General features: G+C 47.0%; 1 protein-coding gene and 1 long non-coding RNA gene across 14 annotated transcripts in view, besides 7 other annotated features; both read left to right on the top strand.

Annotated features, from left to right (window-relative positions):
- Positions 1–27,349, top strand: part of AGPAT3 (1-acylglycerol-3-phosphate O-acyltransferase 3) — a 122,370-nt gene that overhangs the window by 5,161 nt on the left and 89,860 nt on the right. For 2 of the 13 annotated variants that reach the window (XM_047440916.1, XM_047440915.1), the window contains 2 exons: positions 12,121–12,232; positions 12,664–13,017. The exons of 9 other annotated variants lie outside the window; for them this stretch is intronic. In XM_047440916.1, coding sequence (XP_047296872.1) covers positions 12,797–13,017 — 221 coding nt within the window. In that variant the 5' untranslated portion in view covers positions 12,121–12,232; positions 12,664–12,796. The remainder of the gene's footprint in view (positions 1–12,120; positions 12,233–12,663; positions 13,018–27,349) is intronic. 2 more of the 13 variants (XM_047440926.1, XM_005261160.5) reach the window with 1 other exon arrangement.
- Positions 9,513–9,697: a silencer, noted in NCBI's record as "fragment chr21:45299777-45299961 (GRCh37/hg19 assembly coordinates)". NCBI's record gives its function as "represses an EF-1alpha promoter that drives an FKBP-Casp9 reporter gene in an ReSE screen in phorbol 12-myristate 13-acetate-treated (for megakaryocytic differentiation) K562 erythroleukemia cells {active_cell/tissue: K562(+PMA)}" and the evidence as "EXISTENCE:reporter gene assay evidence [ECO:0000049][PMID:32094911]".
- Positions 11,835–12,421: an enhancer, noted in NCBI's record as "H3K4me1 hESC enhancer chr21:45302099-45302685 (GRCh37/hg19 assembly coordinates)". NCBI's record gives its function as "activates a minimal SCP1, AML or CMV promoter by ChIP-STARR-seq in naive H9 embryonic stem cells {active_cell/tissue: H9 hESC(naive)}" and the evidence as "EXISTENCE:reporter gene assay evidence [ECO:0000049][PMID:30033119]".
- Positions 15,361–15,946: an enhancer, noted in NCBI's record as "H3K4me1 hESC enhancer chr21:45305625-45306210 (GRCh37/hg19 assembly coordinates)". NCBI's record gives its function as "activates a minimal SCP1, AML or CMV promoter by ChIP-STARR-seq in naive H9 embryonic stem cells {active_cell/tissue: H9 hESC(naive)}" and the evidence as "EXISTENCE:reporter gene assay evidence [ECO:0000049][PMID:30033119]".
- Positions 15,587–15,742: a silencer, noted in NCBI's record as "fragment chr21:45305851-45306006 (GRCh37/hg19 assembly coordinates)". NCBI's record gives its function as "represses an EF-1alpha promoter that drives an FKBP-Casp9 reporter gene in an ReSE screen in phorbol 12-myristate 13-acetate-treated (for megakaryocytic differentiation) K562 erythroleukemia cells {active_cell/tissue: K562(+PMA)}" and the evidence as "EXISTENCE:reporter gene assay evidence [ECO:0000049][PMID:32094911]".
- LOC124905034 (uncharacterized) lies at positions 17,501–19,412 on the top strand. Its single transcript, XR_007067898.1, has 2 exons — positions 17,501–18,206; positions 18,753–19,412. It is a non-coding gene; the product is annotated as an uncharacterized LOC124905034 (long non-coding RNA).
- Positions 22,878–22,997: an enhancer, noted in NCBI's record as "active region_18553". NCBI's record gives its function as "activates an Ori minimal core promoter by ATAC-STARR-seq in GM12878 lymphoblastoid cells {active_cell/tissue: GM12878}" and the evidence as "EXISTENCE:reporter gene assay evidence [ECO:0000049][PMID:35858748]".
- Positions 23,048–23,097: an enhancer, noted in NCBI's record as "active region_18554". NCBI's record gives its function as "activates an Ori minimal core promoter by ATAC-STARR-seq in GM12878 lymphoblastoid cells {active_cell/tissue: GM12878}" and the evidence as "EXISTENCE:reporter gene assay evidence [ECO:0000049][PMID:35858748]".
- Positions 23,718–23,767: an enhancer, noted in NCBI's record as "active region_18555". NCBI's record gives its function as "activates an Ori minimal core promoter by ATAC-STARR-seq in GM12878 lymphoblastoid cells {active_cell/tissue: GM12878}" and the evidence as "EXISTENCE:reporter gene assay evidence [ECO:0000049][PMID:35858748]".

Below are 27,349 nucleotides of genomic sequence, written 5' to 3' on the forward strand. Positions count from 1 at the left end.
CTTTGTAACTTTTACTTCTTTTCTTTAAATGTTAGTGAATTATTGGGTCCCCGGGTGGTGGTTCACACCTGTAATGCCAGCACTTTGGGAGGCTGAGGCACGTGGATCACTTGAGGTCAGGAGTTCGAGACCAGACTGGCCAACATGATGAAACCCCATCTCTACTTAAAAAAAAAAAAAAACCCAAAAATTAACCAGGTGTGGTGGCGCATGCATAGGTCCCAGCTACTCGGGACACTGAGGAAGGAGAATGCCTTGAACCTGGGAGGCGGACCTTGCAGTGAGCTGAGATCGTGCCACTGCACTCCAGCCTGGGTGACAGAGCCAGACTCCATCTCAATAAATAAACAAATAAATAAATGTTAGTGAATTATTCAGTATATAATGTTTCTTTTTGGTGAACAAAGCTATACAGGAAAATCGTAAACACAGATTCTGACAGGGTCCAGCTAGGAAGGTAAGTGAGAATGCAGACATGAGGCCTATGAAGGGGTGGCTGTGGTGAACATGAGTGAGAGACTGAGGCCTCTTTCACAGGGTCTGGCTCACCTGACCACCCGCTACTGACCCCCAGCTGAGCAGGGCCAGGTGGGTATAGGACCAGAGTGACTCCATCTTTAGTCTTCCGAGAGAAACCAGGTATCTGGAGTTTTATATGCAATGTATTTATTTTTAACAAACTGCACACGCCAAATTACAAATGTTGCCAACTGAATTCAACTGGGGCTACTGTTTTTACAGTCTCTGGGCTACAGTATTTATTTCTTGAAACAAAGTAACTGAACTAATTAAATGAGGACAAAACACGCATTTCCAAAATGCAGGAAGAGAGGGGGAAAAATCCCAAGAATTTATGTGCAGATGAAACCAAAAGAATCATTGCCTCTGTCTCAGGGATGGCTGCTGGAAACAGCGTTCTCTGATGATGCTTAGAGGAAAGGAGAAGATGGTACTAAGAGAATAAGCATCAATTGGAAAAACAACGTAACTCCACGTGTCTTTAAGGGCCTACGGGAGACCCTCCCGTAAGATCTATGCAAAGATAAAGCCTGCAAAAAATAATGTTTTCAGAATGCATCCATACATTTACCAGAAGCACTTCTAATCTTGACCTGTTTACATGGAATGTTCTATGTCCATGTCTCTGGACACACGTGATCCACATACCCGTCAGCACTTGGCATTGCTGTTGATTTTCGCAAAGCTGGTAGATGCAAAGTGTTGTGCAGTTGTGGTCTTGATTTACGCCTGCCTGCTGGATGAAAGTGAGCATCCTGCATATTTATTGGTTATGTGTGTCCTTCCCTGTGAAGTTCCTGTTCATGTGCTTCATCCATTTTTCTTTTGGGTGATGTCTTTTTCTCACCTATTCCTTATATATAGTTTCCATATTATATATTTCCTTATAGATTCAGGATGTTCATCTTTGGCTGTAATGTGTGCATTATATATTTTTCCCAGTTGGGTTTTATCTTTTCACTTTTTTTGTTTTGGTGAAAAGATAGTTTTAATGTAATGTATAATTTTATCCATCCTTCTTTTCTAGGTAGTGCCTTTTGCATGTTACTTTAAGTTCTTCCCAATTCTTGGGTCACAAATGTATTCTGTATTTTTCTGTAGAAGTTGTAAAGTTTGCTTTCTCTGCTTAAGCCCTTTATCTCTCTAGAGTTGACTGTGCAGGTCTTCCGAGGTGTCTTTTGATAAAGCACCGTGGTATTTCACATTCCACCTGACACTCTGTGCTTACATTTATTCCCAGGTGCCCTTATTATTGTTCTTGCTTTTGTAAATGGTGTTTTTTTTTTTTTTTCTTTTGAGACAAAATCTTGCTCTGTCACCCAGGCTGGAGTGCAGTGGCAGGATCTCAGTTCACTGCAACCTCTGCCTCCCGGGTTCAAGTGATTTTCCTGCTTCAGCCTCCCGAGTAGCTGAGATTACAGGCATACGCCACCATGCCTAGCTAATTTTTGTATTTTTAGTAGAGACAGGGTTTCACCATGTTGGCCAGGCTGGTCTCGAACTCCTGACCTCAAGTGATCCACCCACCTCGGCCTCCCAAAGTGTTGGAATTACAGGCGTGAGCCACCGCGCCGGCCGTAAATGGTGTTTTTTATTTTTATTGATTTCTAAGTCTTTGCTGGTGTTCTGTAGAAATGCAGTTGACTTTTGGGTATTGATTTAACAGCTGATCACCTTGCCATTGCTTAAAATTTATTTGTAGATTTTGGGGATTTTCTCAGTAGACATTCACGTCATGTGGGAGTGGTGAAGACTCTGTTTCTTCCTTATATCTTTCGTATTTTTCCTTCCTGTTTTGCTGCCTGGGCCAGGCCCTCCTGAGCAGGGCTGTATGGAAGTGTGACAGGCCATCCTTGTCCTGTTCCTGATTTTAGGGAAATGCTTCTACCATGCTGCCTTCCGGTGTGGGTACAAACAGTGGCCGTTTAGTTCTGAATCGTCCCACTCTGCCTCCTTGAAGCAGAGGAGGCCTGGTGTGAGAAATACAAACAAAGTGACCCAAAAGCAAGGAGCTGGAGAGATGGAAGATCCACTGTCATGGGTCACCGGGAAGACGCAGAAACAAAACCACAGAGAGCTGCGGCCTCCCCCTGCCGGGACGGCGAAACTTAAAAGACTGTGGGGACAAGTGCTGGAGAAGATGTGGGGGCAGACAGAGCACTGGTGCCAGCGTGGCTGCTTTGGGAATGGCAGGAGCTGCAGGGAGATGGCATCGAGTGGCGGGTGCACCTGCCGTGTGCTTCCCGGGGGACATGCTGAGGTGCTCATAGTGGCATGGGTGTTGGAGTCAGACCCCGGGAGCTCTCTCAATGCCTGTCTCCAAATAAAATGAAAAATAACCTCGTGCTACATTCGCCATGGAAAGGGGAAGGAAGGAGCTCCTCCAGGCCGCAACATGTGTGCGCCTCCGGAGGATAACGCTGGGTGGAAGGAGTGAGCCGCAGAAGTGTATGCAGCACCTGACTTCATCAAGGTAAAGCACGCGCACCAGCAAAACCCATGTGCCCTGAGGACTCCGGCTCTAGTACCTGGAAGGAGAACACAGGGCTTCTGCATCCTCTGCCTCCCGGGTTCAAGCGATTCTCCTGCCTCAGCCTCCCGAGTAGCTGGGATTACAGGCGCGCACCACCACGCCTGGCTAATTTTTGCATTTTCAGTAGAGACGGGGTTTCACCATGTTGGCCAGGCTGGTCTCGAACTCCTGACCTCAGGTGATCCTCCCACCTTGGCCTTCTAAAATGCTGGGATTACAGGCGTGAGCCACTGCGCCCAGCCCAAGTTGTCAGTTTCTTGATACAAAGGTCAGAATATTTTCTTAATTTTTAAATCTCTACTATATCTGACAGTAAATCACCCTTTTCATTCCTAAAATGGTTTTACCTTTCTTTTCTAGATTCATCTCACAGAGGCTCATCTTTTTTATTAGTGTTCACAAAGAACCAGCTATCAGTCTTACTCATTTTCTCCACTGTGTCTTTGTTTCCGTATCACTAATTTCTGCTCATTGTCAGGATTTCCTTCTACACTCTTTGGGTTTATTCTGGTGTTCTCTTTCTAGGTTACTGAATTGAAACATTTTCTTTTCTATTTTCTCTAAGCTTAGTTTCTTAATTTTCAACTTTCTGTCATAAGTATTTTATTATTATTTTTTGAGACAGAGTCTCCCTCTGTCACGCAGGCTGGCGTGATCTCGGCTCACTGCAACCTCCGCCTCCCGGATTCAAGTGGTTCTCCTGCCTCAGCCACCTGAGTAGCTGGGATTATAGGCGTGTGCCACCATGCCTGGCTAACTATTGTATTTTTAGTAGAGACAGGGTTTCACCATGTTGGCCAGGCTGGTCTTGAACTCCTGACCTCAGGCAATCCGCCCACCTCGGCTTCCCCGAGTGCTGGGATTACAGGCATGAGCCACCACGCCCGGTCCTGTCATAAGCATTTAAGTCTATGTAGCTTTCCTACTTAGTTCTGCTGTACTGTCGTCTTGTTTATTTTGATATGTAATATTTTCATTGTTCAGCATTTTACAATTTTATTATTCTTCCATGACCCATGAATGCATTTATGTCCAAAGGCATTGAGGATTTTAGGTTGTTTTTATTATGATTTCAGCTGAAAAGCCTCATGGGCAGAGGGATATAGTCTGTATAGCACTGAGTCTCTGGCATTTCTTTAAGGATTGAATTCTATTATGTATCTTCTGGCTTATAAAGTTGCGGTTAGGAAGCCAGCTGTCATTTCAATTGTCCTTCCTGTGTCAGTAGTAAGCTTTTTGTCTGGCTGCTTTTATAGTCTCTTTATTTCTGGTGTTTTTCAACTTGACTGTGGTCTTTCTAGCATGGATTTCTTTTTGTTTATCCTGTTTTGGATTCATTGTACTTTCTGAAGATAAAGTATCATGTCTTTCAGCAATTCTGGAAAATTTTCAGCCATTATTTTGTTCAATACAGTCATTCTGCGGTATCCACTAGGGATTGGTTCCAGAACCCACCATGGATACCAAAATTAGTGGATGCTTAAGTTCCTGATATAAAATGGTGTCGTATTTGTATATAACCTGTGCACATTCTCCCATATATGTATTTTTTTCTTTGTTTTTGAGATGGAGTCTCACTCAGTCGCCCAAGCTGGAGTGCAGTGGCACGATCTTGGCTCACTGTAACCTCCGCCTCCCAGGTTCAAGCAATTCTCCAGCCTCAGCCTCCTGAGTAACTGGAATTACAGGCGCCCACCACCACGCCTGGGGTAATTTTTGTATTTTTAGTAGAGAAGGGGTTTCACCATATTGGCCAGGCTGGTTTTGAACTCTGACCTCATGATCTGCCCTCCTCGGCCTCCCTCCCGTGTATTTTTAAATCATCTTTAGATTACTTATAGTATCTAATACAATGCCTATATATAACTTCATTAATGTGGATTTAATATAGTAGAGAGCAGCAAATTCAAGTTTTGCTTTTAGGAATTTTTCCACCCAAATATCTTTGATCCACAGTTGGTTGAATCCACAAATGTGGAACCCCTAGATATGGAGGGTCAACCATACAGCATCTGCCTTATGCTTTGCTTTCTCATACCATCCTCCCAGCCACTTAAACTCTCGTTCATGTTTTTACCTTTCAGTCTTTTTATGCTTCATTCCAGGTTATTTCTTCAGCTGTCTTCCAATTTAGCAACTCTATCTTCATCTCCATCTACTGTGCTATTTAAATAGGTATACATTTTTTTTGAGATGGAGTCTTGCTCTGTTGCCCAGGCTGGAGTGCAGTGGTGCAATCTTGGCTCACTGCAACCTCCGCCTCTTGGGTTCAAGTGATTCTCCTGCCTCAGCCTGAAGAGTAGCTGGGATTACAGGTGCCCACCACCATGCCCGGCTAATTTTTGTATTTCTAGTAGAGACGGGGTTTCACCCATTTGGCCAGGCTGGTCTCAAATTCCTGACCTCAGGTGATCCACCTGGCTTGGCCTCGCAAAGTGCTGGGATTACAGGTGTGAGCCACCGTGCCCAGCCTCTGCGCTATTAATATTTAACCTGTTATTGTTGTTCTTTTTCTTTTTTCTTTTTTTTTGTTGGTAGAGATGGGGTCTTGCTATGTTGCCAGGGCTGGTCTTGAACTCCCAAGGTCAAGTGATCCTCTCACCTCAGCCTCCCAAGTGCTGGGATTACAGGCACCATGCCCAGCCTAACCTGTTCTTTTAATTTTCATTTTTTTAATAGTTATATTTTTCATTCCTGAAAGTTCTCTTTGTTTTTTTCCAAGTTTGCCTCTCCTCTTGTTTGGTATTCTTTTCCTTACACTTATTTTTATTTTCTCTTTATGTCTAAACATACTTATTTTCTATACTGTAACTAATAATACCAAAGTAATACCGATAATAATATTAACAAATACTAAAATTTGAATTTCTTGAGGGTTGGACTCCGCCACTTGTTCTGCTACCTCTTGCTCCCTGATCCTTGCCTGTCACACACTTTGTGATTTTGGATTGTGGGCTCATTTCACATGGGCTTTGTCTGTGGATTCCTGCAAGGCTTGAAGGGAGCAAAGCCTCCCTGGAGAAGCCCTGCTCCTACCAGGAGTCCAGGAGTGGGACTGATCTAGAATTACTTTAGGCTGATTTCCTGGGCTCACAAAGGGGATGTCTAAAGACATAATTGACTTAGATGGAAAGTGATCCTACAGCAGAAATCTGAGATTGAAGAAATTGCTGATGGTGGAGGTGGATCTACATAAATCCTGATGAGTGAAACCGTAATGAACAGTAGAAGGAATGTCACAGATTAGATATACCAAAATGACCAGGCTGTCTGGGGGGAAATTTTTTCTCACTCTAAAACTACCTGGTGGAGGACAACGTGTAATTTCCAGGGTGTTTAAAGCTGGGAAGCCTCCCCACTGAGCACGTCATTATCAAATGCTTTTCACCAGTTTTTGTTTTGTTTTGTTTTGTTTTTTGTTTGTTTTATTTGTTTTTTTTTGAGACAAAGTCTCACTCTGTTGCCCAAGCTGGAGTGCAGTGGTACGATCTTGGCTTACTGCAACCTCCGCCTCCAGGGCTCAAGTGATTCTTGTGCCTCAGTCTCCTGAGTAGCTGGGACTACAGGTGCATGCCATCACGCCCAGCTAATTTTTTGTATTTTAGCAGAGATGGGATTTGACCATGTTACCCAGGGTGGTCTTGAACTCCTGAGCTCAGGGGATCCGCTTGCCTTGGCCTCCCGAAGTGCTGGGATTACAGGTGTGAGCCACCATGCCCAGCCCACCAGTTTTAACAATTGCAAAATGTGACTCAGATTTTGTCCTTATAAACTTAACCTTTTGTCGACTTCCCTGTCACCCATCCCACCTGAGATGCTTTCTGCTGCTTTAGCACAGGCAGACTAGGTTGCCATTTCAATTGGCTTTCTTCAGATGACTTGTATTCGGTAGCTGAAGAACTGCTGTACATATACATGGCATATGCCAGTAATAGTTAAAGGGCATGTGAGGTTTCAAAAGTAGAAAATAAATGTGAAGGAAAAGACTAGGAAGCACCTGAAATGGTGCTATTCTTTTTTTTTTCTTTTTGAGATTCACTCTTGTTGCCCAGTCTGGAGTACAATGGTGCCATGTTGGCTCACCACAACTTCCGCCCCCCGGGTTCAAGTGATTCTCCTGCCTCAGCTTCCTGAGTAGCCGGGATTACAGGCATGCACCACCATGCCCTGCTATTTTTTTGTATTTTTAATAGAGACGGGGTTTCTCCTTGTTGGTCAGGCTGGCCTTGAACTCCCGACCTCGGGTGATCCGCCCGCCTTGGCTTTCCAAAGTGCTGGGATTACAGGCATGAGCCACTGCGCCTGGCTGAAATGGTGCTATTCTTGGGATCTGGCTGAGGATATCTTCCCAGCAGGCCCATTCCCATCGTTGTTCTGGTATCACCATCTTGTCCCCTCTATCTTCTGTCTCCACTGGTGTCCAGGACAGAAACCTGGGCCCCATCTATGACCCCCTTCCTCCATCTCCCACACCCCCTTCCCCATCTATGGCTCCTTGACCCTCACGATTCCCCTTGCCCGCCTCCTGCCCCACCACCAGCCTCGCTTTCGACTGAGACTGCCCGTGGTCTTGCGTGGGGTCGCTCCAGCTCAGATCCCATCACACTTGTTCCCCACAGAACAAGAGGCAGCCTTTCAGTGGCCCTGCGCTTTCCCCGCCACTGCTTGCTCAGCCCCCACCCGTGATGACGCCTGCTGATGTCAGTGTCCCCCGACCTCACGCTCTGCACCCCCACACCCGGTCTTCAAGCTGCCCCACTGGCCACACTCTGCCTTGGACTTTAGCCTGCCTGGAACACACTTTCTCCTTTTGCCTGGTGACTTCGACCTGGATGTCACTTTGCCGAGGTGGCCTGCTCCTATCCTGAGTGTGAGTTAGATACACACACACACTTAATGCACAACGGAGTCACGTCGTGGCTCTGTCTCTGCGGCCTGCCCGCTTCAGTTCACATTGCACTGCTGACCTTCCCATTTGCCCCCTCGAGGGAGGGCTGCACTGGGCTCCGCTGTGTGGACACAGCCAGCTGTGGCCAGCCCTGTCAATGGACACTGATGCCGCTCCGTTTTCCCAGTTATAAATATGATGGGCATCCTTGTACAGTTCTTCTCTAGTCAATGTCTTGAAGGTAAAGTCTACAGGTGGATTGCTGAGTAAAGGGTCTTGCCATTTCAAAGACGTTAGACACGTTGTTGCTGATTTACCCTCTGCAAAGATCACGTCTGTTTCTACTCACACCAGTAGTATTTGAAAGAATGACACTGTTGTAGATGTTTAATAGTTTTTTATTTCCATTTGTCTTTTTTTTTTTTTTTGGACACAGAGTTTTACTCTGTTGCCCAGACGGGAGTGCAGTGGTGCAATCTCGATCTTGGCTCATTGCAACCTCCACCTCCCGGGTTCAAGCGATTCTTGTGCCTCAGCTTCTGGAGTAGCTGGGATTGAAGTTGCACGCCACCACACCTAGCTAATTTTTGTAATTTTTGTAGAGATGAGGTTTCACCATATTGGCCAGGCTGGTCTCAAACTCCTTGCCTCAAGCAACCTGCCCACCTCGGGTCCTAAAGTGCTAGGATTACAGGTGTGAGCCACCACGCTTGGCTTGTCTTCTAGTTTTGAAATTCAACATGCCACTGGCTGCAGTGTCTCATGCCTGTAATCCCAGCACTTTGGGAGGCTGAGGCAGGCTGATCACTCGAGGTCAGGAGTTCGAGACCAGCCTGACCAACATAGCAAAACCCTGTCTCTACTAAAAATACAAAAACTAGCTGGGTGTGGCAGTGCGTGCCTGTAATCCCAGCTTCTCAGAAGGCTGAGACATGAAAATTGCCTGAACCCAGGAGGTGGAGGTTGCAGTGCGCTGAGATTGTGCCACTGCACTCCAGCCTACAACAGAGTGAGACTCTATCTCAAAAAAAAAAAAAAAAAAAAAAAAAATCCAACATGCTAAGACTGAGTAAAGCTTCATCTCCTGTGAATACCGTATAAAGCACAATTGATGCTGTACAGTATTTTATTTCAGCTGTGAAAAGGGACCGCGGGTGTCTGGCTGTGCTGGAGGAGGAGTCTGGTCTTTCTCGGTGGGAAGTGCTGGGTGGCCGTGGGCTTGGAGGCTGGGTCGTGGGGGTGTGGCCCAGGCAAGTTTCCTTCTCTGCTCTCGGCTGTGCACCTGTCTCCTTGTCTGTTCTCCTTCAGCAGTTTGTGAGGCTGCACATGTGAAAATGCCTTGTCAATGGCACAGTGGCACGTGGACCTGCTGCGCTGTGTGCGTGTCAGGGCGGCCATGTTGTGTGTGGCTGTCTGCACTCTGAGTCCTGGCTGGGCCGCCCGGGGATGATGGCACTTAGGGAAGAGTGACTGCAATCAATGAGCACCACGTTGAAAAGCAGAGCAATCTAGAAGCGACAGCCTGAGCTCTGCGCCTTTGTCCTGAGCTGGCCTTAGGACCTCTGGGCACCTGGTACTCTTGCTTCCCGTGAGCTCCCGTGTCCCCGCATCCTGGCATGTGGGCCTCTCCCTATGCTCCTGGGGTGGAACTGAGAAGACGTGGGTTCTGCCCGTCTCTGTTACTGTTTATTCTTGAAGAACAGGGCAGCATGACTCCGGGGCGGAGGACGCAGCCCTGCATCCCTTGCGTCCCCAGGCATCTTAGGAGCACTGTGGAAACTCAGGGTGTGGACTTGAGCTTCGACATCAGTTGGCACTGGCCTTTTGCACCCATGAAATTGATGTTTGTCTGTGGCCTCCCAGGCTGGTGCTGTGTTCCTGGACCAGCGTCCGATTTCCCTGCTGCTGAATCACTTCATGGCTCAGCACAGCTGAGGGCAGCAACTGTTGTCCCCTAGAGCCCGAGATCTGGGAGCGGCAGGGGCAGCCACTGTTCCTGTGGAACACACTGGAGAGGCATCTGCAGGGGCGGGGTGGGGCTCCTGGTCAGCCTGTTCTTGTCTTGTTCTGGTGCCACTTCCTCAGGTATGCGAGGGCTGCCTTTGTAAGTCACTGGCAGGAAGATGGGAAAGGTGCTCTGCAGGTCTCTACTGCCAGGAGCTCAGCTTTGATCTTGAGTGCTGGTGGCTGTCCAGCTTTACTGGCAGGGATTCTGATGACTCAGAGACAGTAGCTACCCTTTTCCCAGTGGTATTGCCACTGAGTGTGGGATGGGTCACAGCTATGTCTGTGGCCTTTTGCAAATCAACTTCAAAATTTGCAGTCACATTTATGGTAGGACAGATTCATTTCACAATGATTTTGCCAATTACCCTTGTTATTTCCACTCACATATATCTCCCCAAAGTGGAAACAAGGACACGTCTAGAGACAGGCGCTGGACGTCTCCTGCTCACTGGCATTAAGTGGGCAGGCGGCTTATTGCTGAGTGATGGTCCCTGGACATTTCCAGTCGACTGTGTTTGACATGGTGGTGAATTGGACACGTGACAGGTGGCAATATGTTAACTGTTCGTAGCAAGGAAGATTTGTTTTCAGGCTGGTGGTTTGATTACAAGTTGGTCATTCTTAATGCCAGGGAGGGGGAAGAGAGAGAAAATGAGAGAGAATGAATGAGAACAAATGTAAGAACTTTTTTTGGAAAAAAAGAAAATTGAGAAGAAAGTGATAGTAATTACTAATTGTTTTTACTTTGTCACTTATTATGTATTTATTTCCAGAAAGGGATCAGTTTTTTCTTCCTTCCAAGTTTTGTGGAAGAAAAAGAAAACTGAAAGTATTTAATAACTGTGTCATAATTTTTATTTTGTGCCTTGTGATTACATTGTATTTTGGGGAGTGGGTCAATTTTTTCTTAAATTAAGAAATGCTTTATATGAAAACACATACATAAAGTATTGAACCCCTGCACCTGCCTCAAGTGGAGAAATTAACCACTATAAATACTTTAGAAGGCAAAGGGTTGGTGAAGCTGAAAACTGCTAAAATTCTTAACATGCAGACAGAAAAGGGAGGTGGGAAGGATGTCGCCCTCAGAGAACGTGTCATACCTCAGCCTGTGCTGTCTGGGGCAGACGGCATGAGCCATGCAGCCCACAGAGGCATGCTGGAAACATGGCTGGTGGGAACTGAGATGTGTTTGTGGTGTGAAATGCACGCCGATCTCAGAGGCTTGATATGAAAGAGAATGTAAGTGATCTCATTCATATTCTTCTATATTGGTTACACGTAGAAATGATAATATTTTGGATATACTGGGTTAAATAAAATGTATTATTAATTTTTTTTTTTAGATGGAGTTTTGCTCTGTCGCCCAGGCTGGAGTGCAATGGCACAGTCTTGGCCCACTGCAACCTCTGCCTCCTGAGTTCAAGCCATTCTCCTGTCTCAGCCTCCTGAGTAGCTGGGATTACAGGTGCATGCCACCACGCCCGGCTAATTTTTGTATTTTTAATAGAGACGGGGGTTTCATCATATTGGTCAGGCTGGTCTCGAACTCCTGACCTCAGGTGATCCACCTGCCTCAGCCTCCCAAAGTGCTGGGATTACAGGCGTGAGCCACCATGCACGGCCTATTAAAAACATTTTTTTGCCAATTTCTTTTTACTTTTGAATGTGGCCTCTAGCAATGTAAAGTTGCACACAGGCCGGCATTTGCAGCTCACGTGTGTTTGCCATGTTGGCGTGGTCCAGGGTCTAAGCCACTGCAGGGGCAGACCCTTGTCCCTTGGGTGAGTCCCTCATCTGGGGGCCCTGTGCCCAGGGCTGAGGGAGTGGTCAGTCTCAGCCTGTCATTCCCCGCCCTGCCGGGCCCCACATCTCCTTTGCATAATGGAGGTAATGCAGGAAAATGCTTAGAGCAGGGTCTGGCAAATGTGTTATTAGTGCTCTGTGTTATTAATAAAGCATTGTGATGTCTCTTGTGCAGTATGGAAATAGGTTTCGTAGATTGCACTCAGGATTTCAGATTGACACGTATTTCCATCTGGAAACTCTTGCACGCGTTTGCACTGGGAGATGAAGTGGTCCCTGTTGGCTCAAGCTGCAGTGAGAGGGTGGTGGGGGTAGACTCAGTCCCTTGCCGGGGTTGGCCAAAGCAGGCTTCCTCTTCCTCCCTCAGGTGTGTGTTATCGGAGGTTTCATTCCTGGAAAATCCAGTGTCTATGAAACCAACATACATGGCGTTTGCATCACAGTTGGAGTCAGATGTGAGCCCGGAGGGCAGGTGTCTGGTAAGACCCATGAAGGCTGCATTTCAGCCCCCCTCTAAGAACCAGCAGTGCCTTCCATCACTGCAACAGCAAACACCCCTCCATAAACATCTAGGGCAGCGAGCAGTCACATCCCGTGAGACTCAACTGGGTCAGAGGGCCCTTGCTTGGGTCTCCTCCAGCCACGGGTGCCCTGGTCTTGGGGGGTGGTGCCCCTGGGTGGGGCTTAAGGAGGTAGCTGCCCAGCTCTGCCTGTTGTCTCCATCCTCAGGGGCCTGGGGCAACTGCTGGCCACCAAGCAGTGTCCAGTGTCATAGCCGCTCACTTGTCCTGTGGGGCCACCCATGAGATGCAGGATTCCTGGTCAGCCCCAACACCAGGCCCACACCTCCACGCAGGCCTGGAAGGCAGGAGAGAGCAAGCTTTCTTCTCCTTTATTTGTGAATTATCAGCACCTAGAAACTTAAGCGGGCAAATGCTGAATTGCTGGAGACTGTGAAGCTGTGATACACACAGAGTTGCTCCTTCCCTTCCTGGCTGGGGTGCTGGCCTGGGGAGCCTCCTGCCCGGGTCACTCCACTGCGCATGCTCTGTGGCTACCGTGAGACTGACCTGCCTCAGACACCCTTCTCCTTGAGCCTCAAGGGCCTCATGGCCTGGACCTCCGTGATCAGCCAGAGGAGCCCAGAGTCCATGGTGCTGTGGCCTCCTGCCCACTCTGGGACCCCAGGGAGAGGGCCTGTCCTCGCTGAGCCTCCGACACCGGTTCTGAGCCTCTTGGACAACATTTTCTCTCCAGTTTACAAGTAGGAGCCCCTTGCATAAATAAGATGGGGAAAATCCCTGCAGATGACATGGCCGGGGCCCTGGGCCCCGGGAGCCATTTCTGTTCCTTGTCACTCAGCCTGGCCAGTCCTTGAGTTTTTCCCCAGAGTGTCCTCAATAAGGAATAGCAAGCCTGGGTATTTTCTTCTGGTCAGTATTCCGTTTTTTTGTTTTGTTTTGTTTTTTGTTTTGGAGATGGAGTTTCGCTCTGTTGCCCAGGCTGGAGTACAGTGGTATAATCTCGGCTCACTGCAGCCTCTGCCTCTTGGGTTCAAGCGATTCTCCTGCCTCAGGCACCCAAGTAGCTGAGGTTACAGGTGCCCACTGCCACACCTGGCTAATTTTTGTATTTTTAGTAGAGATGGGGTTTTGCCATGTTGGCCAGGCTGGTCTCAAACTTCTGACCTCAGGCAATCCACCTGCCTTGGCCTCCCAAAGTGCTGGGATTACAGGTGAGAGCCACTGTGCCTAGCTAATTTTGTATTTTTAGTAGAGAGACGGGGTTTCTCCATGTTGGTCGGGCTGGTCTTGAACTCCTGAGCTCAAGTAATCCGCTTGCCTCAGCCTCCCAAAGTGCTGGGATTACAGGTGTGAGCCACCACGCCTGGCCAGTGTTCTGGTCTGTTTGTGATGGGTGTAAGAATCTGTCTCTTTAAAGAGGTGCCTCTGGCCAGGTGGTTACCTCTGTCACCAGAGATGAGTCACCCAGTCTCAGCTCGCAGGCCTTCCTGGACGTTCCCAGATAGTCCCCAGTGCTGGAGGCCTGTCGAAAGTGTAGCTCCACCACGCCCTTTGATCTCTTCCTCCTCTCCTCTTCCCCACCCGCTTCCCCCTCCTTCCCCCTCCTTCCCCCTCCTCCTTCCCCCTCCTCCTTCTCTCCTGCTGAGGGCATTTGGCCTCATAGATAAGCGGTTTCTAATGAGCTCACTGGTTTCCGATGGTGGGTGGGGAGTGACTCTGGGCTTTCTGTGCTGCCTCTTCGACCTCGTCCCTGTTTTCTGCTGTGCGGAGCATGGCCCTTTCCTAATCCGAAAGAGCCGCACAGTCCCTTCCAGTGCTGCCTGTGGTCTCGCCCAGCTGGCTGTGCTATTGCGGGACATGGGGCCCAGCCTCCTGCTCCTTCAGAGGCCTGGGGTGGGTGAGGCTGGGGTGCCCTGGTGCTGGATGCAGGGGTGCTGTGGTGCTGAATGCTGGGGTGCCCTGGTGCTGGACGTTGGGTGCCCAGGCACTGGATGCTGGGGTGGCCTGGTGCTGGATGCTGGGTGGCCTGGTGCTGGGTGGCCTGATGCTGGGTGCTGGGTGGTCTGGTGCTGGATGCTGGGTGGCCTGGTGCTGGGTGCTGGGTGGCCTGGTGCTGGGTACTGGGTGCTCTGGTGGTGGATGCAGAGGCAGGGCTATCTGTGGGTCTGCCCTTGGGTGTGGGGCAAGCCAGGTCAGCATATTGCAAAGCACACGTTGGGCTGCTGCTTGTGTAATTGTCTCCTTGTCTCTGCTCTCTCCCTTCTCCCACCTCACATGGGATAGATCGGAGTTAACAGTGATGCCTTTGTTTTTTGTCAAAAGCATCATACTCATGCCCCGTGGCATTCTCTTTAAGGGAAGAGCTGGTTTTACTAAAGATGTGCTTCAATGCAGTGACGTGCGGTGCTGAGCAAGGCCGGGAACCTGGCCCCTGACCTGTGTACACTGGCCGGCCGTGCTCCCCTCACCCTGCGGCTAGACCTCAAATGGCATCCCCACCTCCCTCAGCCAACTGCAGCCCCTCTGGTAGCATGGAGCTCGCAGACGCTGGGTGCAGGAGGCCTGGGCCTGGGCCAGACGGGTTCCCTGCACAGCTGCTTTTGCGTCATTGATGCAGACGCGGAGACTCACTTCTCTGCTTCGTGTGTTCCTAGTTGGTCTCCAGTTCTTGAACAAATAACTTTCAATTACAATTTTTTTTCTACTTATGATTGCCAGTTTTTCTTTTTTCTTTTTTTTTTTTTTTGAGACAGAGTCTTGCTCTGTCACCCATGCTAGAGTGCAATGGCATGATCTCAGCTCACTGCAACCTCCACCTCCCGGGTTCAAGCAATTCTCCTGTCTCAGCCTCACAGGTAGCTGTGATTACAGGCACACGCCACCATGCCTGGCTAATTTTTGTATTTTTAGTAGAGATGGTCTACTAAAAATCAGGCTGGTCTCAAACTCCTGACCTCAAGTGATCCACCCGCCTTGGCCTCCCAAAGTACAGAGATTACAGGCATAAGCCACCGTGCCCAGTGCCAGTTTCTTATATAAGCTGATTTGGAGGAAGAAAAGGGCCTGTTGTTTGATGACTCTGTGGCCCCAGGCCCAGCCCTGTGGAAGCCTGGAGTATACGGCCGGGGTTTGTGGCACAGGCGAGGGGAGCCACAGGTGAAGGTGTGCAGGTGCGCAGGTGCGCAGGGCTCCTGTGGGTGAGGGCACCGTGGCTCAGGGATGGGTAAGCAGTGTTTTCAGGAGCACTGAGGAGCGGGCCAGTGCTGGCAAGGGGGTTCCTTGGCAGCAGCTGACAGGAGGGAAGGTTGCCCGGTCAGGGGCTCCAAATACAGGCAGGGGTTTTTGCAAAGCCGGGGCAGCGACATGGCAATCGTGATGCCATAGGAAGCCGAAGCCTGCAAAGGGCACAGCTGGGTGGACGCAGCACCTGCGGCCAGAGACTGGTGGCTGAGCATGGGGGTGCCTGGCATGGAAACTTGCAGGGCTTGGAGCTGATGGTTAGGGGAGGGAGTCACCAATATCACCTCTGCTCCTCCTGGCAGTCCCCCTGCTGTGCTATCAAATATTAGGTCTTTATACTAGATCTTTTTTTATTAAAAAAATTTTTTTTAAAGATGGAGTCTTGCTCTGTTGCCCAGGCTGGAGTGCAGTGGCGTGGTCTCGGCTCACTGCAACCTCTGCCTCCCGGGTTCAAGTGATTCTCATGCCTCAGTCTCCCGAATAGCTGGGATTACAGCCATATGCTATCATGCCTGGCTATTTTTTGTATTTTTAGTAAAGATGGTTTCACCCTGTTGGCCAGGCTGGTCTCGAACTCCTGACCTCAAGTGATCCACCCGACTCAGCCTCCAAAAGTACTGGGATTACAAGCATGAGCCATCACACCTGGCCAAATACTAGGCCTTATTCATTCTTTCTAACTAATTTTTATACCCATTAACCTCCCTCTACCCCCATATCCTTCCCAGCCTTCTCTGTCTTCATGAGTTCAGTTGTTTTGATTTTTACATCCCACAAATAAGTGGGAACATGTTATGCTTGTCTTTCTGTGCCTGGCTTATTGCACTTAATATAATGAGCTCCAGTTCCATCCATGTTGTTGCAAATGACAGAACCTCATTCTTTTTTATGGCTGAATAATACTCCATTGTGTATAAGAACCACATTTTCTTTATCCATCCGTCTCTTGATGGACATGTGGGTTGCCTCCAAATCTTGGTTCTTATGAACAGTGCTAAATGAACATGGAAGTGCAGGTATCTCTGATATACTGATTTCCTTTCTTTTGGGTATATACCTAAGAGTTAGATAGCTGGGTCACATGGTGGCTGTATTTTTAGTTTTCTGAGGAACCTCCAAACTGCTCTCAATAGTGGTTGTACTAACTCACATTCCCACCAACAGTGGTTTGCTGGAGATTTCATAGTGCAGGAACTGGCTAAACGTGGGTACTCCAAAGCAGCCCTGCTAACCAGGTCAAGGCCCAGCTCCTTCTCTGTTTTTGCAGGTGAAGTAGTACTGGCTGTCACTCCATTGCCTTCTTGGTGCCTGTGGCCACTGTTGAGCTGCAATGGCCCCAAGCCTGAAATATTCACCATCTTCCTGCCCAGAAGCAGTCGCCACCCTCTGTTCTGGATGAAAAGACCCCAAAGAAACAACCAAATGCAGCCTAGGAACCTGGATTAGAGTCCAGGTTGAAACAGCAACTATCTCAGTGTTTCTGGGACAGCTGGGGAAATGCAAATGTAGGTTGACTAATAGATGATATCAGGGACTAAGGGTTAATTTTCTTAGTGTGCTAATTTTATTGTGATGATGAAGAAGGCCTTACTCTTAGCAGAGACACACTGAAATATTTGGGTATAAAGTGCTATGATGTCTGGAAGTAATGCTCAGGTGGTTGAGGAATAAAAGCGTGCGCACACGCACACACACACACACAACTGCGCTCTCCTCAAATGTTAATTCTAATATAGGTAGTTGTATACAGAGTTTATTTATTTATTTATTTAGAGACAGAGTTTCGCTCTGTCACGCAGGCTGGAGTGTAGTGGCGTGATCTTAGCTCACCGCAACCTCCACCTCTCAGACTCAAGTGATTCTCCTGCCTCAGCCTCCCAAGTAGCTGGGACTATAGGCGCCCGCCATCACACCCACTGACTTTTGTATTTTTAGTAGAGACTGGGTTTCGCCATGTTGGCCAGGCTGGTCTCAAACTCCTGAGCTCAAGTGAACTCCTGCCTCAGCCTCCCACAGTGCTGGGATGACAGGCATGAGCCACCACGCCCGGCCCATATACACGTTCTTGTTGTACTATTAATTCAACTTCTCTATACAAACTTTTCATTTAAAAAGTTGGAGAAAACATCGTGTTTTAGTTTTTTGTTTGTTTATTTTTGAGACAGAGTCTCACTCTTTCACCTGTATTGGAGTGCAGTGGCACAGTCGCAGCTCCCTGCAGCCTCAACCTCCCAGGCTCAAACGATCCTTCCACCTCAGCCTCCAAGTAGCTGGCACTACAGGTGCACACCACCACACCCAGCTAATTTTTAATTTTTTTGTAGAGATGGGGTCTCAGTATATTGCCCAGGCTGGTCTCGAATTCCTGGGCTCAAGCAATCCTCCTGTCTCAGCCTTCCAAAATGTTGGAATGACAGGCTTGCATCACTGCACCCAGCTTGGTTTTACTTTTTAACATTTGTAAGGCTTTACTCCACCTGGAATTGTTTTTGTGTAGGATATATATATATATGAAAGCTAATGTATGCTGGGCTTAATGCCTAGGTGATGGGATGGTCTATGCAGCAAACCACCGTGGCACACGTTTACCTGTGGAACAGACCTGCACATCCTGCACATGTACCCCGGAACTTAAAATAAAAGTTGAAGAAAAAAAGAAAGAAACCTTAGCAGGGTAGCTAGATAAATGGTAAGGTCAATCAATATTCTTATATATCAGCAACAAACAGGTAGAAAATGAATTATTTAAATACCAGTTACAGTAGCATCCAAAATATGAAGTACCAGGAAAACATTAAACAGAACATGGGCCGGGCGAGGTGCTTCACGCCTGTAATCCCAGCACTTTGGGAGGCCAAGGCGAGCGGATCATGAGGTCAGGAGTTCGAAACCAGCTTGGCCAACATGGTGAAACCCCATCTCTACTGAAAATATAAAAATTAGCCAGGCATGGTGGCATGCGCCTGTAATACCAGCTACTCAGGAGGCTGAGGTGGGAGGATGGCTTGAACCCGGAAGGCGGAGGTTGCAGTGAGCTTAGATTGTGTCATTGCACTCCAGCCTGAGCAATAGAGTGAGAACTTGTCTCAAAAAAAAAACAAAGTTTCTTATTGATTTTAAAAATCTTATCTGTACATTATTTCAGATTTTTAAACATTTATTTCTTTAACTTTTAGATTTTGAAGTGCACAGTCATGTCATCTGTGAATAACAACAGATTTGTTTTCCTTTTCAGTCCTTAGATTTCTATTGACTTTTCTTGTCGTCCTGTGCTGGCATCTCCAACAAGCATGGGACTGAGGTGATGAAGGCATGTTGGCGACAGAGGGTCCTCACCAAAGGGAAACCTTCCTTGTTACACTGCTAAGTGAAGTGGTTGTTGTGGGTTTTTTTTTTTTTTTAATGTTTTTTATCAAGTTGAGAAAATTCCCCTCCATTTCGCATTTGCCAGGAGGTTCTGGTTTTTGTTTTTAATCACAATCATGATTGGATGTTGCCAGTTACAGTGAACTTGTGGCTTTCCCCTTTTGATTTGTTAATATCATGTTAAAAAGTCCCTGCATTCCTGGAATAAACCCAATTTAGCCATGATCTTTTTCATAAATTACTGGATTAGTTAACTAATACAGGCACACCTTGGTGATATTGTGGGTTCCGTTCCGGACTTCGGCAATAAAATAAATATCACGATAAAGTGAGGCACACACATTTTTTGATTTCCCAGTGCATACAGAAGTTAGGTTTATGCTGTGTACAGCCATGCCACCCTGAACGTGCCTGATCTCATCAGAAGTTATGTTTCTGCTATACTGTAGTCTGTTAAGTGTGCAATAGCATTGTGTCTAAAAAAAACAGTGTGCATGCCTTAATTAAAAAATACTTGATTGCTAAAAAATGCTAATGATCATCTGAGCCTTCAGTGAGTCTTCGTCTTTTTGCTAGTAGACGGGTCTGCTTCGACGTGAATGGCTGCTGAGCACTCAGGGAGGTGGTTGCTGAAATGGGGTGGCCATTGCAATTTCCTACAATATGACATTTTGGATCTGTGTCCCTAAAATCTGACATTTTGGATCCGTGTCCCTAAAATCTAACATTTTGGATCTGTGTCCCTAAAATATGACATTTTGGATCTGTGTCCCTAAAATCTGACATTTTGGATCTGTGTCCCTGTCTGAATCTCAGTTGAATTGTAATCCCCAGTGTTGGCAGTGGGGCCTGGTGGGAGGGGATCGGATCCTGGAGGTGGGTTCTCATAGTTTAACACCGTCCCCCTAGTGCTGTAACTGTGATAGAGTTGTCGTGAGATCTGGCTGTTTGAAAGTGTGTGGCCCCTCCCCCTCTGTCTTCCTGCTGCTCTGGCCCTGTGAGACCGCGCGTCTGCTTCCCGCTTTGCCTCCGTCATGATGGTAGACTTCCAGAGGTGTTCCCAGAAACTGAGCAGATGCCACCATGCTTCTGAAACAGGGTGGAGAATTGTGAGCCAATTCAACCTCTTTTCTTTATAAATTACCCGGTCTCAATTTTTTTTTTAAGACAGGGTCTTGCTCTATTGCCCAGGCTGGAGTGCAGTGGTGTGATCTCTGTTCACTGTAGTCTTGACCTCGTGGGCTCAAGCGATCCTCCCACCTCAGCCTCCCAAGTAGCTGGGACCACAGGTGTGAGCCACCATGCCTGGCTCATTTTTGCACTTTTTGTAGAGATGGGTTTTCACCACCCTGCCCAGGCTGAACTTGAACACCTAGGCTCAAGCCATCCACCCGCCTCGGCCTCCCAAATTGCTAGGATTACAGGTGTGAGCCACTGTGCCCAGCCAGGTTTTTTTTTTTTCATTTATTTATTTATTTATTAATTTTTTGAGACAGAGTCTTACTCTGTTGCCCAGGCTGGAGTGCAGTGGCACAATCTCACCTCACTGCAACCTCTACCTCCCAGGTTAAAGTGATTCTCCTGCCTCAGCCTCCTGAGTAGCTGGGACTACAGGCACCCGCCACCACGCCTGGATAATTTTTGTATTTTTAGTAGAGACGGGGTTTTGCCATGTTGGACAGGCCAATCTCGAACTCCTAACCTCAGGTGAGCTGCCTGCCTTGGCCTCCCAAAGTACTGGGATTACAGGTGTGAGCCATAATGTCTGGCCAGCCAGGTATTTGTTAATAGCAGTGTGAGAACAGACCAATACGGACAGCAATGAAGCTTGCCACATGGATGGACTCTCTTTTTCACAAGTTTTCTCTGTAGCACGTGATGTCATTTGATAGCATTTTACCCACAGTAGAACTTCTTTCCAAATTGGAGTCACTCCTCTCAAACCCTGCAGCTGTTTTATCAATCAAGTTTATGTAACACTCTGGATCTTTGTTGTTATTTCCACAATGTTCACAGCATCTTCACTAGGAGTAGGTTCTACCTTAAGAAACCATTTGCTTTGCTCATCCATAAGAAGCAACTCCGGGCCGGGTGCGGTGGCTCACGCCTATAATCCCAGCACTTTGGGAGGCTGAGGTGGGCAGATCACGAGGTTAGGAGATTGAGACCATCCTGGCTAACACAGTGAAACCCTGTCTCTACTAAAAATACAAAAAATTAGCTGGGTGTGGTGGCAGGCGCCTGTAATCCCAGCTACTCAAGAGGCTGAGGAAGGAGAATGGCGTGAACCCGGGAGGTGGAGTTTGCAGTGAGCCGAGATAGTGCCACTGCACTCCAGTCTGGGTGACAGAGCGAGACTCCATCTAAACAAAAAAAAAAAAAGGGAGCAACTCCTCACCTGTTCAAGTTTGATCATGAGGTGGCAATAATTCAGTCACATCTTCAGACCCCACTAATAATTCTAGTTCTCTTGCTATTTCCACCACTTCTGCAGTGACTTCTTCTGCTGAAGTCTTGAACTCCTCAAAGTCATCCACGTAGCTTGGAATCAGCTTCTTCTAAACTATTAATGTTGATATTTTGACCCCCTCCCATGAATCATGCGTCTTCTTAATGGCATCTAGAATGGTGAATCCTTTCCGGAAGGTTTTCCATTTACTTTGCCCAGATCCATCAGAGGAATCACTATCCATGGCAGCTATATTCCTATACAATGTATTTCTTAAATAATAAGACTTGGCAGTATAAATTACTCCACGGCTGGGCATGGTGGCTCACACCTCTAATCCCAGCACTTTGTGAGGCTGAGGTGGGTGGATCACCTGAGGTCAGGAGTTTGAGACCAGCACGGCCAACATGATGAAATCCCGTCTCTACTAAAAATACAAAAATTACCCAGGCGTGGTGGTGCACGCCTGTAAATCCAGCTACTCAGGAGGCCGAGACAGGAGAATCGCTTGAATCTGGGAGGCGGAGGTTGCAGCGAGCTGAGATCATGCCACTGCACTCCAGCCCGGGCAACAAGAGCAAAACTCTGTCTCAAAAAAAAAAAAGAAAAAAAAAGAAATTACTCCTTGATCCATGGGCTGCAGAGTGGATGTCGTGTTACCAGGTATGAAAGCAACATTCATCTCCTTGTGCATCTCCCCCAGAGCTTTTGGGTGACCACGTGCATTGGCAATGAACAGTAATTTTTTGAAAGGAATCCTTTTTTCCTGAGCAGTAGGTCTCAACAGTGAGCTTAAAATATTCAGTAAACCATGCTGTAAGCAGGTGTGCTGTCATCCAGGCTTTGTTATTCCATCTCTAGAGCACAGGCAAAAGTAGATTTAGCATCATTCTTAAGGGCTCTAGGATTTTCGGAATAGTATATGAGCATTGGCTTCAACTTAAAGTCACCAGCTGCATTAGCCCCTAACAAGAAAGTCAGCCTGTCCCTTGAAGCTTTGAAGCCAGACATTGACTTCTCTCTAGTTGTGAAAGTCCTAGATGGCATCTTTTTCCAATATCAGGCTGTTTCGTCTACATCAATAATCTGTTGGGTGGTCATGGTGGCTCACAGCTGTAATCTCAGCACTTTGAGGGGCTTGAGGTGAGTGTATTCCTTGAGTTCAGAAGTTCAAGTCAAGACCAAGCTGGGCAACGTGACAAAATCCTGTCTCTGCAACCCCCACCAAAATTAGCCAGGCATGGTGACTTGTGCCTGTCATCTCAGCCTCTTGGGAAGCTGACTTGGGAGGATTGCTTGAGCCCAGGAGGCAGAGGTTGCAGTGAGCTGAGATCATGGCACTGCACTCCAGCCTAGGCAACCGAGTGACACCCTGTCTCAAAAAGAAAAAGAAAATCTATTGTTGAGTGTGGCCACCTTCATCAGTGATCTTAGCTCCATCTGCAGATGACTTGCTGCAGCTTCTCCGTGGGCACCTACTGCTTCACCTGCACTTTTATGTGAAGAAGATGTGGCTTCTTTTCTTAAATCTCCTGAGCCAGCAGCCTCTGCTAGCTTCCAACTTTTTCTCTGCAGCTTCCTCAACTGTCTCAACCTTCACAGAATTGAAGAGAGTAAGGGCCTTGCTAGGCACTAGGCTTTGGTTTAAGGGAATATTGAGGCTGGTTTGATCTTCTCTCCGGACCACTCGAACTTTCTCCATATCAGCAATAACGCTGTTTCATTTTCTTATCATTTGTGTGTTTACCTAAGTAGCACTTTTAATTTCCTCCAAGAACTTTTTCTTTGCATTCATCACTTGGCCAACTGTTTGGCCCAAGAGGCCCAGCTTTCGGCCTATCTCGGCTTTCACCACACCTTCCTCAGCAGGCTTAGTCACTTCTAGCTTTTGATGTAAAGTGAGAGCTGTGCAACTCATCCTTTTACTTGAACACTTACAGGCCATCAGAGGGTTATTAAGTGGCCTCATTTCAACACTGCTGTGTAACAGGGAATAGGGAGGCTGGAACAGAGGGAGAGAGATGGGAAGAGCCGCTCGGCCGAGCAGTTCAGAGCATGCACGACCTTTTTCCACTCAGTTCCTCCTCTGATGGGGGCCCGGTTCACAGCACTGAAAACAATTATGGTAGGAACATCAAAGATCACTGACCACAGATCACTGTGACAGGTATAACAATCATGAAAAAGTTTGAACGATTGCGAAAATTACCAAAATGTGACACAGACGCCAGAAGTGAGCACTTGATGTTGGAAAAACGTGGCCGATAGACTTGCTGGATTCAGGGCTGCCACGAACCTTCACGCTGCAAAAACTCAGTATCTGGAAGTGCAGCGAAGCCAGGCACAGTGAACAAGCTTCCTTCCGGCTTCTGGCGTTCATGCTCGTGAGTGAGACTGCTCCGTAATTATCCTTTGCATCCTGTTTTTGTCAGGTTTTGGCAAAAAGATTATATTAGCTTCAAAATGCACTGGGCAGGGGCCAGGTATTTCTTTCTTTCTTTCTTTTTTTTTTTTTTTTAACTTCTCTAAAAGAGTTTATGGAAGATTGGAATCCCTACACCAAGAGTGTAGGATATCACTGGTGAAATCGTTCTGAACTTAGCATGATCATTTTTTTGGTGGTGGATGTTTGACTTTTGTTTCAGTTTTGTAACGATTATGGTATTCTTTGGGTTTTCTATTTTTTTTTTTTGGTAACAGCTTTGTGGAGATATAGTTCACCCACTATATGACTCACCCATTTCGAGGGGATAAGTGTGATAATTTAATATATTCACATAATTTGTAAAGGTCAATTTGGTATAAATTGGCATATCTGTCACCATAAGTATTTGTCTCGTCTTTAAGCTAAAAACATTCAAATTCTTCTCTGCTATCTATTTTGAAATATACGATAGATTATTGTAAACTGTAGTCACCATACTGATCTATAAACACCGGGTCTTATTTCTAGGTCTTACTTCTTTTATCAAGTGTTTATCTATACCCACTAATCAACCTCTCTTCCTCTCTGCCCCTGATTTATTCTTGAGGATATTTTTGTCCGTTATTGTTCTTAGGAATTTGTCCATTTAACTTTACATTTTCAAGTTCATTCCTATGAAAAGGCATCAGTGGCCTCTGATTTTAAAAGACCTGAAGCACTGGACTCTGTTCCCCTTTCTTTCCTGACCTGATTCGCACCTCCTCTCTTTTTATCATCAACTCTCTTGATAAAACTCTTTTGATTTTATTGATCCTTTCAGAGAACCAACTTTGTGGCTTTTTGTATGTTTTCTATCTTATTAATTTCTGAGTTTTAGATTGTTTTGTTACTTCTTCTAAATTTGTTTTCCTAATTTTTTGAGATATATCTTGTGTCATTTGTTTTCGGCATTTTATTTTATTATTTATTTATTTTTTTTTTTGAGACAGAGTCTTGCTCTGTCCCCCAGTCTGGAGTGCAGTGGTGCGATCTCGGCTCACTGCAACCTCCACCTCTTGGGTTCAAGCGATTCTCCTGCCTCAGCCTCTGATGTAGCTGGGACTACAGGTGCATGCCACCATGCCCAGCTAATTTTTTTGTATTTTTTTATTAGAGACAGTGTTTCACCATGTTGCCCAGGCTGGTCTCTAACTCCTGAGCTCAGGCAGTCCGCCCGCCTTGGCCTCCCAAAGTGCTAGGATTACAGGTGTGAGCTACTGTGCCCAGCCTGTTATCAGCATTTTACAATGTTCTAATGCAGTCCACACTTAAGGTTGCCACTCCCCTTAGGAACTGTTTAGGCTGCGTCAGCCTATATGTAGTGACAGGATTTTTTTTTTTTTTTTTTTTTACTATTTCATTCAACATATTTTTGAATTCCTCTTTTGAATTTTTTGACAATTGATCACTTTTTAAAAAAAAATTTTTTTTTGAGAGAGTCTCTGTCACCCAGGCTGGAGTGCAGTGGTGCGATCTTGGCTCGCTGCAACCTCCACCTCGTGGGTTCAAGTGATTCTCCTGCCTCAGCCTCCCAAGTATGGGATTACAGGCAACCGCCACCACACCTGGCTAATTTTTTGTTCTTTGTTTTTCGTGGGTTTTTTTGAGACAGAGTCTCGCTCTGTTGCCTAGGCCGGAGTGCAATGGCACAGTCTCGGCTCACTGCAACCTCCACCTCCCTGGTTTGAGTGGTTCTTCTGCCTCAGCCTCCCAAGTAGCTGGGATTACAGGCGCCTGCTACCATGCCTGGCTAATTTTTTGTATTTTTAGTAGAGACAGGGTTTCACCATATTGGCCAGGCTGGTCCCGAACTCCTGACCTCAGGTGATCCACCCACCTTAGTCTCCCAGAGTGCCGAGATTACAGGCATGAGCCACTGCGCCCGGCCTAATTTTGGTATTTTTAGTAGAGATGGGGTTTCACCATGCTGGCCAGGCTGGTCTTGAACTCCTGAGCTCAAGTGATCCACCTGCCTTGGCTTCCCAAAATGTTGGGATTACAGGGGTGAGCCACCACGCCTGGCCGTGATAACTGTTTTTAACTTCTGAGCATACCAGGATTTTTGCAGATAACTTTTTGTTACTTTTTTTTCCCCTCGTTTAAGCGTCTGTGGGGTGAAGGAATCTGCTCTGCTTGATCTCTGTCTTCTGAAACTTTTTAGGACTTGCCTTATGGCCCAGCACACGGTCAGATTTTAAAATGTTCTGTGTGTCTTTGAACAGATTCTGTTCTGCAGTGGTAGGGGCAGCATTGTGTGTAGATTGATTGAATCAAGTTTATTCATCATGTTATTCAAATCTTCTATACTAAGGGTCAGCAAACTACAGCCTATAGGCTAAGTCTGGCTAGCTACCTGCTTTTATAAAGTTTTGCTGGACCGCAGTCACACCATTTGTTTATGTCTTGTCTACAGCTGTTTTTGCATTGTGGATTTGTCTATTTTGTCTAGCAGTTGTATCGAGTTTTGCTTTATATACTTGAGAGCTATGTTATTAGGTGATACAGACTTAAAATTTTATATCTTCCTTATGAATGAAGCGACTATTACTGTGAAATTATCTTCTTACCTTTTTAATGCTTTCTGCCTTTCAGACTTTGTCTGGAATTAATATAGCGGCACCAGCTGCCTTTTGTTTACTGTTTGCTTTGCATGTCTCTTTTATTTTTTTATTTTTAATTTTTCTGTATCTTTAAATCTGAAATGTATCTCTTGTAGACAGTGTATGATTGGAGGATCTTTTTTAAATTGAAGTTTGACAGTCCGTTTTTTTTTTTTTTTTTTTTTTTTTCAGTATTTATTGATCATTCTTGGGTGTTTCTTGGAGAGGGGGATGTGGCAGGGTCATAGGATAATAGTGGAGGGAAGGTCAGCAGATAAACATGTGAACAGAGGTCTCTGGTTTTCCTAGGCAGAGGACCCTGCGGCCTTCCGCAGTGTTTGTGTCCCTGGGTACTTGAGATTAGGGAGTGGTGATGACTCTTAAGGAGCATGCTGCCTTCAAGCGTCTGTTTAACAAAGCACATCTTGCACCGCCCTTAATCCATTTAACCCTGAGTGGACACAGCACATGTTTCAGAGAGCACGGGGTTGGGGGTAAGGTTATAGATTAACAGCATCCCAAGGCAGAAGAATTTTTCTTAGTACAGAACAAAATGGAGTCTCCTATGTCTACTTCTTTCTACACAGACACAGTAACAATCTGATCCCTCTTTCTTTTCCCCACATTTCCCCCTTTTCTATTCGACAAAACCGCCGTCATCATCATGGCCTGTTCTCGATGGTCGCTGTCCCTTCGGAGCTGTTAGGCACACCTGCAGAAGGGTTCCCAGACAGGGCGGCCGGGCAGAGGCGCTCCTCACATCCCAGAGGGGGCGGCCGGGCAGAGGCGCTCCTCACATCCCAGACGGGGCGGCCGGGCAGAGGGGCTCCTCACCTCCCAGAGGGGGCGGCCGGGCAGAGGCGCTCCTCACATCCCAGACGGGGCGGCCGGGCAGAGGGGCTCCTCCCATCCCAGAGGGGGCGGCTGGGCAGAGACGCTCCTCACTTCCTAGA

The sequence above is a fragment of the Homo sapiens genome, chromosome 21 (genome assembly GCF_000001405.40).
Source record: "Homo sapiens chromosome 21, GRCh38.p14 Primary Assembly".
Lineage (NCBI taxonomy): Eukaryota > Metazoa > Chordata > Mammalia > Primates > Hominidae > Homo > Homo sapiens.